Raw genomic sequence first — 13,481 nt, 5'->3', positions numbered from 1 at the left:
CAGGCACCAGCCTCCACACCCGGCTAATTTTTTTTTTTTTTTAAGTAGAGATGAGGTTTCACCATCTTGGCCAGGCTGATCTCTAACTCCTGACCTTGTGATCTACCCACCTCGGCCTCCCAAAGTGCTGGGATTACAGGTGTGAGCCACCATGCTGGGCCTAATTAAAGATTTTTTAAGTGTGTTTTTTAATTTGTGTTTTAGTATGACCGTTAAAGAGCTGTCATATTTTCAATTTATTTATTCACTTTAAAGGTATTCTGTTAATCTAAAATGTGAAATCTATTGGCAGAATTTGGGGTATTTTGTTATTGATCTTTTTAGTGATGATAGTGTCTTTAGTGATAACCTTTTTGTCATTCCTGTTACTAGTAATATGCCTTTTCTTGCTAAGGATTTATTGATTTCATTAAGCTTTTGAAAGAACCACTAGGTTTTGCTGATTTTTCTCTTTGTTGATTTATTTTATTTTTCATATCTGCTTTCTCTTTTGTATTTCTCCCATTTTGCTTGTATTTCTTCTTTTTTTTTATTATTATACTTTAAGTTCTGGGATACATGTGCAGAATGTGCAGGTTTGTTACATAGGTATACACGTGCTATGGTGGTTTCCTGCACCCATCAACCCGTCACCTACATCAGGTATTTGTACTTATGCTATCCCTCCCCAGGCCCCCCCATCCCCCAACAGGCCTTAGTGTGTGCTGTTCCCCTCCCTGTGTCCATGTGTTCTCTTTGTTCAGCCTCAGTGAGGCAACGCCCCACCCTGGTTCTGCTCGCCCCCCATGGGCTGCACCCACTGTCTAGCCAGTCCCAGTGAGATGAGCTGGGTACCTCAGTTGGAAATGCAGAAATCACCTGCCTTCTGCGTTGATCTTGCTGGGAGCTGCAGACTGGAGCTGTTCCTGTTTGGCCATCTTGTCAGCCACTGGCTTATATATATATTTTTTTTAATTTGCCTTTCCCTGCCTTTTTTATGGGGATGCCTAAGTTGTTAAATTGTAGTATTTCTTATTGTTTATTGTATGTATTTTAAAGCCATGTTATCCTCTAAATACTGCTTTAGTTACCTTCCATACCTCACTTTTTTTTGTTGTTTTTTTTGTTTTTTTTTTGAGATAGAGTCTCGCTCTGTCACCCAGGCTGGAGTGCCGTGGTGCAATCTCGGCTCACTGCAAGCTCCGCCTCCCGGGTTGACGCCATTCTCCCGCCTCAGCCTCCTGAGTAGCTGGGACTACAGGCGCCTGCCACCATGCCCGGCTAATTTTTTTGCATTTTTAGTAGAGACGGGGTTTCACCGTGTTAGCCAGGATGGTCTCGATCTCCTGACCTCGTGATCCGCCCGCCTCGGCCTCCCAAAGTGCTGGCATTACAGGCATGAGCCACCATGCCTGGCTCCGTACCTCATTTTTAATTTCATATTTCCATTATAATTCAGTTAAAAATATTTTCTAATGTCTGTTCTAAATTGTTCTCTCGTTAATGGTTTACTTCAAATTGTATTACCCAATTCCTAAATATGTGGGGATTTTCTAAGCAAGTTTATGTTACTGATACCTAGTGTAATTCTACTCTTGTCAGAGAAGATATTCCATTCAAATATTCTACATTCTTCATTTTTTACCACTTATTTTGTAAGTTACTGAGATATTTATGTGAAAATCTCTACTGTAACCATGATTGTAAATTGTTTATTTCTTTTGATTTTTTCATTTTTTGCTTTATTTTGAGGTTATATTATTATATATAATATATATAATATATTAGATATGTATTATATATAATATATATAATATATTAGATATGTATTATATATAATATATTAGATATGTATTATATATAATATATATAATATATTAGATATGTATTATATATAATATATATAATATATTAGATATGTATTATATATAATATATATAATATATTATATATGTATTATATATAATATATTAGATATGTATTATATATAATATATATAATATATTAGATACGTATTATATATAATATATATAATATATTAGATACGTATTATATATCTAATATAATATATGTATTAGATATATATTAGTCATATCTTTCTGTTGAATGGTCTTTTATATCATTATAAAATGTTGCTCTTTATTATGGGATAAAGATTACCAGCACTCTTTTGGATACTTTTATATTAAATATTTTTTCTTTTTTTACTTCCAAGCCTTCTTTGGACTTATATTTATGATATGCATCTTTTGGTATTGTTTAATTATCTATTTTGATCATCTTTGTCCTTTAATTTGTATGTTTAGTTCATTTAAATTATGTGATTTCTCACTTATTTGGGCTTGAATGTATCATCATGCTGTTCACACAATTGATTCCTTGATGCTTTTTTCTCTTGTCTTCACTTTGTTTATAATCATTAAGGATTGTTGTTGTCATTTTTCCCTCAGTTAGCTTCTTAATTATGTGTTCTTTCATTATGTTTTTAGTGGTTACCCAGGATAACAATGTGCATTCTGAAATTGTTACAGTCTACCTTACCTTCTAGAAAAGATAAATAAAATAATTGAAATTATTCGTCACTTTCCAGAAACTGCAAATACCTTATAACACCCTTATCTTTCTTATCTGTTATATATTGTATGTATTTAAATTCTTCATGTCTCTTAAAACCCAAAGACATCGCTTTTTTGTTTTAAATATTTAATATTATTGCTATTTAACCATGTATTTATTCTTTACTGTTTACTGTTCTTCCACCTGGAGTCATTTTCCTTATACATGAAAAGTTCTCTTTCATGCAGTCTGCTGGCACCATATTATTTGTCTGAAAATGTTTTTATTTTACCTCATAGGTAATTTTTTTTCTGACTGTAGAATTTACGTTAGCAGCTTTTTTCATTTGGCACTTTAGATAGGTTATTTTTGGTTTTGGAGCTTGTTTTGCTTTTGTTGAAAAAATATACTATCAGTCTTATTGTTGCTCATTTGAAGGAAATGTCTCTTTTTAATTGGCTACTTTTTTAGATTTTTCTGTTTTTGGTTTTCAGAAGTTTTACTATAGTGTGCCTTGATTTGAGTGTTTCTGTGTGTGTGTGTGTGTGTGTGTTTTGTATTTTGTGAGGTTTATAGTGTTTATTGAATCTGTGACTTGATGTCTTTCTTTTATTTAGGAAGATTCTTGGCCATTTTCTTTTTAAATATTGCTATTGCCTATTCTCTCTCCTCCTCCTGAGACTTTGATTACATGTACATTAGGCATCTTCACTTATCTTTTTTAGAGTTTCCTTTTTTTCCCATAGATTCCAATCTCTGGTAAAATTTACTTTTCCTGTATTGTCCTGTACATATTAATCATATTGATTTTGATGTCCCAGTCTTATATATATAATATTTGCTTTGAGTGTGTGTATTGTATTTTTTCCCCTCTTGGCATTTGATCATTTGGGTCACTTTGTATTGAACTTTAGATTTTGTGAGTTAAAAATTACAGAAGCCCTTGAAGATGTGTTTCTTCCAGTTAGATTTAAATTTTTTCTCACAAGCAAATAGAATATGAGAGGACTTTGTTTTGTTTCTGGCTACTTCTGATCTGCCTTTCTCCTAGTTCATCATTGCATTGGGGTCTCTACTGACTGCATGGTGTTTTTACCAGAGTTTCTCACTTTGGTGAGTCCTGAACTCTAATCTCTGTCTCCCAGTATTCTTGGGATTGCTGAAATATTGGTCAACCCTGTAGCCTTCTGACTCTTGGTTTCCAGCTGTCTCACCCAGCAAATGTTTCTTTTAATAGTTGGCAAATACAGATATTTTTGTTCATTTCTCTGTTGTTCCTTCTTTTTCAGGCTCCTGACCCTTCAATTCTTTGGTAGTCCCAAACTCCAACTTTTATCTTCCCATTCCAATGAGATTTCCTCAAGTGCTGGGTTGCAGCTTGGCGTCTATTTCCTCATAGACTGACTCTGAAAGTGCACTGAGGAGAAAAGAAAGCACCTCTATACTTCCTATGTCACCAGACCTTGCCCCTTAGGTTCTGGCTGACTTGGCTGTGCTTTGATGCCTGCAAAGAGTAATTTGGGTGTGGGGGTTATTTTTTAAAAATCTTTTATCTTTCCCTTCTCATCAGTAAGAGCCATGATATGATGTAAGTCTGAAATAAGTCTGAAATAAGTCTCCCAATGCACATTTTTCACATACCAATTTTTAATATCTAAAGAAAGATGATTCTGTGGATGACATTTTTAAATTCTAAAGGCTCATAGATTCTACGATTTTAACTATTAGTTTACATCTCTTTGAGTATTGTTTATTTCCTTCTGCTCTTAATGCTCCTTTCTGTCATTAAAGGGACCTTTTGGTTGCCTTATGTCTCTGATTTATGATCTTGAGATGCACTCTACTTGCATTATTGTTAAATACATAATTTTACCATAGAAACTCTCACTGTAGAAGGTTTATTTCTTTAATCTATATTTTTTCAAGTTGATAGTTTTCACCTTTTCTGCTATCTATCTTTAAGCACTATAAGTTTGCTTTTTACATTTAATAATGTTAACATTTTCTTTATGAATTTTCATCTTTTTAGAAACCTAAATTGATTTTTCTATTGAAAATGAAAGTTGTTTAAAATGATAATGGAAACTACTCAAAGGAATATGCCCATCTGGATTACAGTTTTCTAAAAGTATTTGTTACACACCAGAACTGATTGAAGATTATTCTAAGTTTAAAAACATCGTTGCACTTATAAAACTTTTTTAATGAAAATGCTTAAGGACCATCATGCTGGTCCTGTGCCAGAGAACACTCAAAACTTAAACTTTTGTCTATAAAAGTAGACTCTGTGCTTCTTGGTGGTGTTAGTATTGCTGTGGTCGTGTTCTTATTTTTTTTAAAAAAATTATAGAATGCTCATTGCATGACAAGTATTGATGCCAGGGATTTATAGAACGCACTTAAGAGTTCTTGCATTTTGGAAGTGTACATTTTGTTTTCAAAGCACTCTCCTCTGAGCTTTTCCTTATTATCTCTGATTATAGGCATTCACTTGTAAAATCAAATGTTAGATGCTGTGTGTTCTATACACAGTTAAAAATACTTTTTCTGAAAAGTTAATTATCTATATAATGTATTCATGTCTCACTGCCTCTCTAATGACATCAGTAATAATGTTAGTCCAGAAACAAGTAGAAATTCAGTAGTACTAGGTAATCAGCCTCCCAATCTGTCTAAATTTTCTGGTAGTGGGATTTGAAGGTTCCAATGGGCTACAAAATATTTAACAATAATATTTAACAAATAATAGTTTGATATTAGTGATTCAACTTGAAGATGTAATTATCTTTTAATTTACTAGGAGAATGGATGATGCTTCAAATGGAGAGATGAGAGGAAAATATCAACAAACTCATGTGACAATTAATATGTAATTTTCTAATTTGGCTTTAAAATAATGCCTTTGTGTCTACTGCAGTATTAGTGTTTCTGGATATATGAGTTTTCTATTGCTGCTGTTAACAAACCACCACAAATTTGGTGGTTTAAACAATACAAATTTATTACCGTATAGTTCTTTAGGTCAGAAGTCTGACACCAAGCTGAAATCTAAGTGTTTGGTAGAGCTGTATTTCTTTCCAGGGGCTATAGGGAATAATGAGTTTCCTGCTCATTCAGGTTACTGACAGGAATCAATTATTGGAGTTGTAGGACCAGGACTGAGATTCCCGTTTTCTTGCCTATTGTAAACTGAGAGCCTTTCACATCTTATAGTGGCCGCAGCATTCCTTATGTTCTAGCTTCCTCCTTCCATTTTCAAAGCTAACAATTTGTGATTGAGTTCTCATGTTGCATCTGTCTGACCCATTCTTCCTCAGTTATTGGCCATCTTCTACGACGCCTATGATTAGATTTGACTCACCTGTGTACGCCTGTTGGTCTGCCTATTTCAAGGTCTTACCTTAATCTGATCTGCAAAGTCTCTTTTACCACATAAGTATCTACAGCTTCCTGGGACTAGAGTGTGTACATCTTTGATAGGCCATCATTCTGCCTACCACATTGGCTAACCTAGGAATTTATAATGTTTTATATAAAACAAAACAAAACAAAACTACAGTGTGAGAACCTGACTCAGGGGGATCTAAAAACAGGTCCAGCTTCTTTGTTCTTTCCGCTGAACAACTCTTCTTATTTTGACCTCAGGCTAGAGATAACTACTTGTTATCTAATCCAAGGAACCATGTTAATTAGAATTGCTGTTTTAGTTTTTATCCTCCTTGCGTGGGGGAGAAAATCAGATGTTTTGGTTTAACCTTTTTGAGGGCTATGGGAATAAAAGTAAGCAATAACAATAGTTTACAAGCACTTATTATGTACTAGGTGCAGTGCTAAGCCCTATTACTCTACTTTCTCTTTTGGTCCATTTACCAACTCTGTGAGGTTGGTTATTATTCCATATTACAGATGAGAAAATTAGGCATAGAAGTTGGGTAGCTTGCTCAATGTTTGGCTAGTAAGTGTTATAGTCAGAATTCAAACCCAGATCTTTTTAATGTTTAAGCTTCTTATTTTTACCAGTTTATTGTACTGTCTGCATTTTGTGATAGTATACAGTATTATTGCTATTATCAAGTTCTGGCAAGTATTCACATTGGAAGTTTGCTACTTGAAGTCATTGTCTTATCAAGTTGAGTACATTTTACATCTAATTATATTCTTGTTCATTCATATAGGTGAAAAACCATACAAGTGTCAAATTTGCAATCAGTCTTTTAGAATTAAGAAAACATTAACAAAACACCTGGTTATTCATTCTGATGCCCGACCTTTCAACTGTCAGCACTGTAATGCAACATTTAAGCGGAAAGACAAGCTGAAATACCACATTGACCATGTTCATGAAATAAAATCTCCTGATGATCCTCTCAGTACTTCTGAGGAAAAACTTGTATCCTTGCCAGTTGAGTACTCATCTGATGACAAAATCTTTCAAACAGAAACAAAACAATATATGGACCAGCCCAAAGTTTATCAGTCGGAAGCCAAGACGATGTTACAGAATGTATCTGCTGAAGTATGTGTTCCAGTAACTCTGGTTCCAGTTCAGATGCCTGACACTCCGAGTGACCTAGTGCGTCATACTACCACACTCCCACCATCTTCTCATGAGATTCTGTCACCACAGCCACAGTCAACTGATTATCCACGAGCAGCGGATTTAGCTTTTCTGGAAAAATATACTCTTACTCCTCAACCTGCAAATATAGTTCACCCAGTTCGACCTGAACAAATGCTAGATCCTAGAGAACAATCTTATCTTGGAACATTACTGGGCCTTGATAGCACTACTGGTGTTCAAAATATTTCTACGAATGAGCATCATTCATGAGTAAATCTAAACATTCCACAGATTTTTGGATGGTTATATGCTAATGGTAGAGATGATAGCTTTTAAATTTGTGGGGCTGCTATTTTCTTGTTTTCTCTAGTTTCTCAAGTCCTCAGAACAGTTTCAAATCAAGAAAACTATGTGTCTCTGTTTACTGAACATGAATATTTGGACAAAATTTCTGGCATAATATTTGAAGTGCACATTTTTGTGATTTTTAAAGATTATTTAGTGCTAACTTTTAATGGTTTCTTAAATTTTTTGCAATTATTAGCTGCTGATATTATGGAAGTATTTTTTTTAATCATCAGTGGAAATTTTTATTCTTCTTTAGTCTCATTCCTCTCCTTCTTCTTCCTAGCCCTTCTTACAAACAAGTTTGAGGACCATGTAGCCTTTAAGAAGGAATTAAGAGTACACTGATAATTGCAACTGTTTCTTATCCTAAGATTCAATATTACGTTATACAAATTTTTAAAATTGAAATTAGGAATTTGAATTTACAAGAATGCCTTGGATATTTCTGTGTTGTCTTTCCATTCATACATAATTTTAGGTTATCATTATCCTTTGGACTTTTGATATACTCAAAGCCAGAAAGCTTAACTAATGTAAGATTAGCTATTATTTGTAGGACTGAAATAATAATCCAGATAATTGGTTTTTGCCTATACTTCAATTGTTATGAATAAGAAAGGCAAACATAGGTCTGGGCATTAAATTATACAAACTGAAAATGTGTTACAAGAAAAATATGAGAGTTTTAACTAGATGTTTTTCAAGGTAAGTTCACCTTTTGTACTTTACTATTTATTTCAGAAATGTTGACAATACAACATAGCATATGTCTTCATCTCACTAAGAAAAGAGCAGTTGTAACTCAATGAAATTTAATTAAACATGCTACTTTTGATTTCATTTACTTGGCTGATAGAAACTCTGGGAAACAGAACCTAGATATTTTGTGTTCAATTGTTAGAAAAGGTGCCAAACAGATTATGAAATTTGTGCCTAATTTAACTTAACATTGTTTAATTAAATGGAACCACTACTTATATACAGATTTACATGCAATCCAGATCTTTAATTTTGCCTTCACAAAAGCCTAATGTCTGTAATTAACCTTTAATTTTTATTTCTGTATGAGACAAAAGTTGAGGACTTGGTGAAAGGAAATAGCAGTTACAGCAAAACCTCAGTGATTACAATTGAGGAAAAAGTCAAAATTATAAAATACCTTTAAAGACATGCACTTTCCATATTTTCAAGTCAATTTTAACTAAAAACTAAGATAATGTTTCCTAGTAGAGTTGCTTGAAGATTAGACTAGACAGGGTTGATTTATTATTAGCATGTCATTTGTACATAAACTAGTAGAAAATAGCAGTTTTAAAAGTTTTCTATTTCAGTTTTGTTTACACTCCTAATTGCTTTAAGCACTTTTTTTGTGTGTGTAAACTGTAAAGTCTAGCCCAGCCCTTGTGAAAAAAAAAATCACAAATAAAACAGTGAAGTTTTAATGAATAAAGTTTAATCAATTAGTAATGGCGGAAACTGTCGCTGAAGCACTTAAGAAATAAAGGTACTTTACAGCAACATTCGCCATACTAGCGGAGGTAAAACAAAAGAAATATTGAAAACTGAGGCAGTTAACCAAAGTAGCTCATATAAATAATAAAACCAATCTGAGTTTAGCCTCATTTGTCAAGGTTTGGTTGTAATTGTCTTAAGACTAGTGGACATACTTACTATGTTCTCCTTTTTAAAGTATTCTTATTTCTTTGTGTGGAAATGTTATATCTGGGGTACTTACATGATTGAGGTTGACTATATGAGGTACTGTTAGTCTGTTAGTCTTTCAAATTGACTTTTAAAAATACATATCTTTATGATTTTCATCATAAAGACTGGCAATATTATAACTAAAAATCTTACTATAATGAAAGAAATCATACATAAAAATGTAGCCTGCCTTACATATAAGCTAATGTAGAAAAGTTTAGACTTATAAAAAGGCAGATAGTATATATATATTTATATACATGTATGTATATGGTATATTATACATTTGGTGGCAGAAAAAGAAGATACTGCATTTTCACATTGAAAAGAATACTTTGATTTTTGAAGGTATTTACTTTAGGGTTCTTTTAATAATAATGTCCGTCCTAATGCTTTAAATATATGATTTAATTGTAGGAATTGGTTTACACAGAACTTTTTTGGAATACATCTCTTAGTAAAGTGAAATATAATAATATAATTGTATTTAGTTACTATTGTAGATAACTTAAACTTGAGTAGTGATTTACTGTTTTATAAAATGCTTTCATATATGTTATCTCATTTGAACCTCATAACCAGCCCTGAAATAGTAAAAACAAGCTATATTCCCACTTTATAAAGAATTTGAGGTTAAGATAAAAGGACTCATTTAAGCTCACATGGTCAGTAGGTGGCAGAGCTACTAGTAGGGAAAGAAGAAAGCTAGCATTAATGAATGCTTACTATGTGCCAGGTACTACATCCTGTCATTTAATCTTAACCTAGTCTGGGAGATGCGTAATATAATTCTGGTGAAGTAATAGTTTCAGTGGATGATTGAAAACAACAACAACAAAAACAAAATGAAACTAATCTGCTGCCTCTAATTTCCAAAAATGTAAGAAATTTTACAATTGTGAAAACCTCATGGATTTGGGCAAACTGAATGTATATAGGCTTTTGACAAAAGTTGGCACAAAAAGTATAAAAGGAGGCCTATTCTTTTCAGTTGACCTTTTGTAATATTTGATTTAGAGTATTTTGGACAAATGCTCTATAACTCTAATCCATTTATTTTGTAACTGTACTTAAAATTTTGAATCTTGCAACTAAGTTTAGCCTCATTCAGAATTTTTTTATTTTGTGAGCATAATTTATTGTTTTAAATTAATTTTTTAGCAGATAGCAGTTAGCACTTAATCTGTAAATTGAATAATTTATCAAGTGCAGGAATGTGTTAATCTAATGGGTTTTGACTTAAATGCACCAAAGATTTTTAGTAGGTATTAAATAGTTTAAAAGACTTTAAATTCTTTCTTGCTTGAATAACTATTTGTCCAAAGAAGCACAGTTGAAGTCCTAGAATAATGGATTTTTTTAAAAAAAAAAAGTTGTTAGTTTGAATACTGAGATTGATTATTGTGTTTATATGTATAAAAATAGGAGCAAAAGAAAATACTCTGGGAATAGTCATACTGACAAACCAATTATAAGTGAGAATACTGTTTTCCTTAGTTTAATTAATACAATGTTATGTTTTTTAGAGAACACTACTAAATGCTAAATAAGCCTATTTTTTACACTACACTATCAAAATAATTTTTGCCTTCGAATTTTTTTAAGTCAAGTTGAGGTTATTTTTGTAAGAAACCCAACCTATTTTTTTTGCAGCCTAAAATCCCATTTAAGGTTAGGGGTTGGTCCTTATGCCAGCAAGATTTAACCAACTGTAAAGATAGTAGTCTTTGCATACATTTAAGTAATTAAGGCATTTATTGCTGGGAGAATAGGAGTAGCAAAAATATGGTTTTAAATTGGTGCTTTATTAGGTGACTTCCTTTTAGGCGATGGCAGGTCATGAAATAGGTACACTAATAATTTTCTATCAACCTTAAAAAGTGTCAAAGCATCTTTGTAGGGTGACTCTAAACTGCTAATTAAGGGTTAATAAGTAATTATCATTGGTTGCTTTTCAATATAATTGCAAACAAATTAAAAACACAGTTAAACTAATATGTTTATAAGCTTGAGTTTTCTTCCTACCATATCACTCTCATATATCAGTGATGAAATGTCAGATTTTGAGCAGTAGCTCTTTGACAGTGTCCTTTTATACCCAGTCTTTTCTGCATTGAATGCTTTGTGCCTTTTCGATGTGTTGTAGTTGCTTAGAGTTGATTCTGCTGGCTAGATTGTACTGATTAATAGATTTTTATTTTTATTTTTTTTTGGTTATGGGTGTTATGATTGTGTTGCCTGCTGGTTGGGCAACTTTTTTTTTTTAGGTTGCTTTATGTTTATATAGGCAAATTGGCACTAAGTGTTAGTGTGAATATTTGTTTTTATGATTTATATATCATTTTAAAAATCTCTGTTGTGGCCTTTATAGTTACTGTGAAGCCACTCTTGGGCCTGTCTCTATATGCTTATTAGAGGAATCTGACAAGTAAAATAAAATGAGTAGTGTGTCTGCATCTGTGTCTCTGTTTCTCTGTCTTTTAAATAACCAGTAACCATAACTACACAGCCCTGCACTGAATGACCTTATTTCAGTTTGCCTAAAACTGAACAAGAGGTGATGGTTTGAGATGAGTTTCTCATTAGGAGCAGCAACATCCCAACCAATATATAATGAGTTGATCAACTCAGGAAAAATTAGGACTTTAAAGAAGGTTGTATTTGGATATTCTAAGATTCAGTGCCAAATTTAAAATGCCTAGAAATGTATTCTACAAGTAGCATTTCTAAAACTTTAAGTAGTGTTATAGTAAATGCTACTTGCTGTTAGAGTGAATAATGGATAATGTGAGAATAATTTTCTAAACGACTTCTAGAAACTAGACAGTTCTTCCTTATATCCTACCCTTTTCCACATTTCTCTAATGTGGGGTTTTTTGTTTGTTTGTTTGTTTTGAGGGTAGAGGGAATCCCCTCCTTATTTCCTCTAAAATTGTTTTTACTTAAGATACCTTTTCCCTATAATCTTAGCATGCTTTCTGCTCTTTCTCTTTGGAAGTAGCATTAATAAGATAGATGTAATAGGATTAAGATGTGTGGAAGATGAGAAAAAGAAGGTTTTTGTAGAGAGAGTGCTTATGTTTTGTTTACTCATGTTTCAACTTGCTGTGTATGATCATAAATCTATGATCTTGAGAAAAATCCTAAAACAATTTAAATTTAGCCTATGCAGCCAATTACATAAAGAGAAATTAAGGATTATATTCAGAGGAGAAATTAAGGATTATATTTAGAGCACAGAGGTTATACAAAGAATATAACCTTGTTTGGTCAAATTCTTAGGTAAAGAAAAGTAATCAATGCTTGCATTGCTGTTGGAGATTCTAAAAGATGTATTGAATGAAGAGGATGTACACATCTCATTGTTACTGCGTATTTTTTTGCTTGGTATTCCTGCTTGCATTAAAGCTGGACAATGTACTGTGATGTAATTACAAAATTTTTATTCCTTCTAACGATTGAACTCTTCTTATCCCTATTGATAAAACTGTATTACAATTGATGAGTGTGGCTGCCAGAAAATAATACAAAACTGGGCATTTAGCTGTTCCACATTGTGTAGTAAATGTTTTGATTATGGGGATTTACAGTGTATATTAAAGTAGAAATGCTTTTGCACTTGTTTTCAGTCTCAAATAATAATTTTTGTTTTTAATTAAGGATACTTTAAAAGCAATGACAGAAAAATCTAAAATATCAGAATTAATTATTGTGAACTGTGTGTAAAATATCTTGTGAGTTTTATACATACTTTGGTTGTCTGATGTTTCCTAAGTATAAATGTCTTTATAGAAAATTTCAGTTCTCTGTGAAGAGTAGGAAGTGTACTGTATATTGAACTAGTTCTTTGTGTTACTTTGATATTTAAAATAAATATAAAGTTCTTTGGTCCTAATACAGCATATCTAGGTTTTATTGAACCACATTTTCACAGGATGGGAATGCAGTACTCTGAAACCAAGTAACTTGCAGCACATTTTAAAACATTTTCTCATAAGCTATATGTTTTGAAATATTTTATATATTAAATGTATAAACCATTAAACTAATTTTAAGTGTAATATAAATTCAAATATTAGTGATGACTTTTATGCTTGAAGTAGTCATATTATGCTGTTTTTTAGAGAGAAGTCTGAAGTGTAGTAAAATTCATTAGTGAAATGAGTTATTCTGTATAATATTGAGAGGGGCCACTCTTACCTCTAATCCCCCTCACTCCCAGAAACATACATTCTGGCTATGGGAGAAATGGTTGTTGGTTGAAAGCATAAACTGTAGGCTATAGGATGGTACCCCCAAACTTGCAAGTTGTTATCCCTATCTGGCACCATAA

At 32.5% G+C, this 13,481-nt stretch overlaps 1 protein-coding gene across 3 annotated transcripts in view; it reads left to right on the top strand.

Moving 5' to 3' along the window:
- Positions 1-13,043, top strand: part of ZBTB41 (zinc finger and BTB domain containing 41) — a 47,612-nt gene extending 34,569 nt beyond the window's left edge. For all 3 annotated transcript variants that reach the window (NR_135153.2, NM_194314.3, XM_047419671.1), the window contains one exon: positions 6,711-13,043. Coding sequence is in view for 2 of the 3 variants with exons in the window: in NM_194314.3 (NP_919290.2) it covers positions 6,711-7,366 (656 nt within the window). In the remaining variant the exon portion in view is untranslated. The remainder of the gene's footprint in view (positions 1-6,710) is intronic.
- Positions 13,044-13,481: the final 438 nt, after the last annotated feature.

The sequence above is a fragment of the Homo sapiens genome, chromosome 1 (genome assembly GCF_000001405.40).
Source record: "Homo sapiens chromosome 1, GRCh38.p14 Primary Assembly".
NCBI classification, from domain to species: Eukaryota; Metazoa; Chordata; class Mammalia; order Primates; family Hominidae; genus Homo; species Homo sapiens.
Note: the sequence above shows the minus strand (reverse complement) of the source record. Positions and strands in the feature narration are given on the sequence as shown.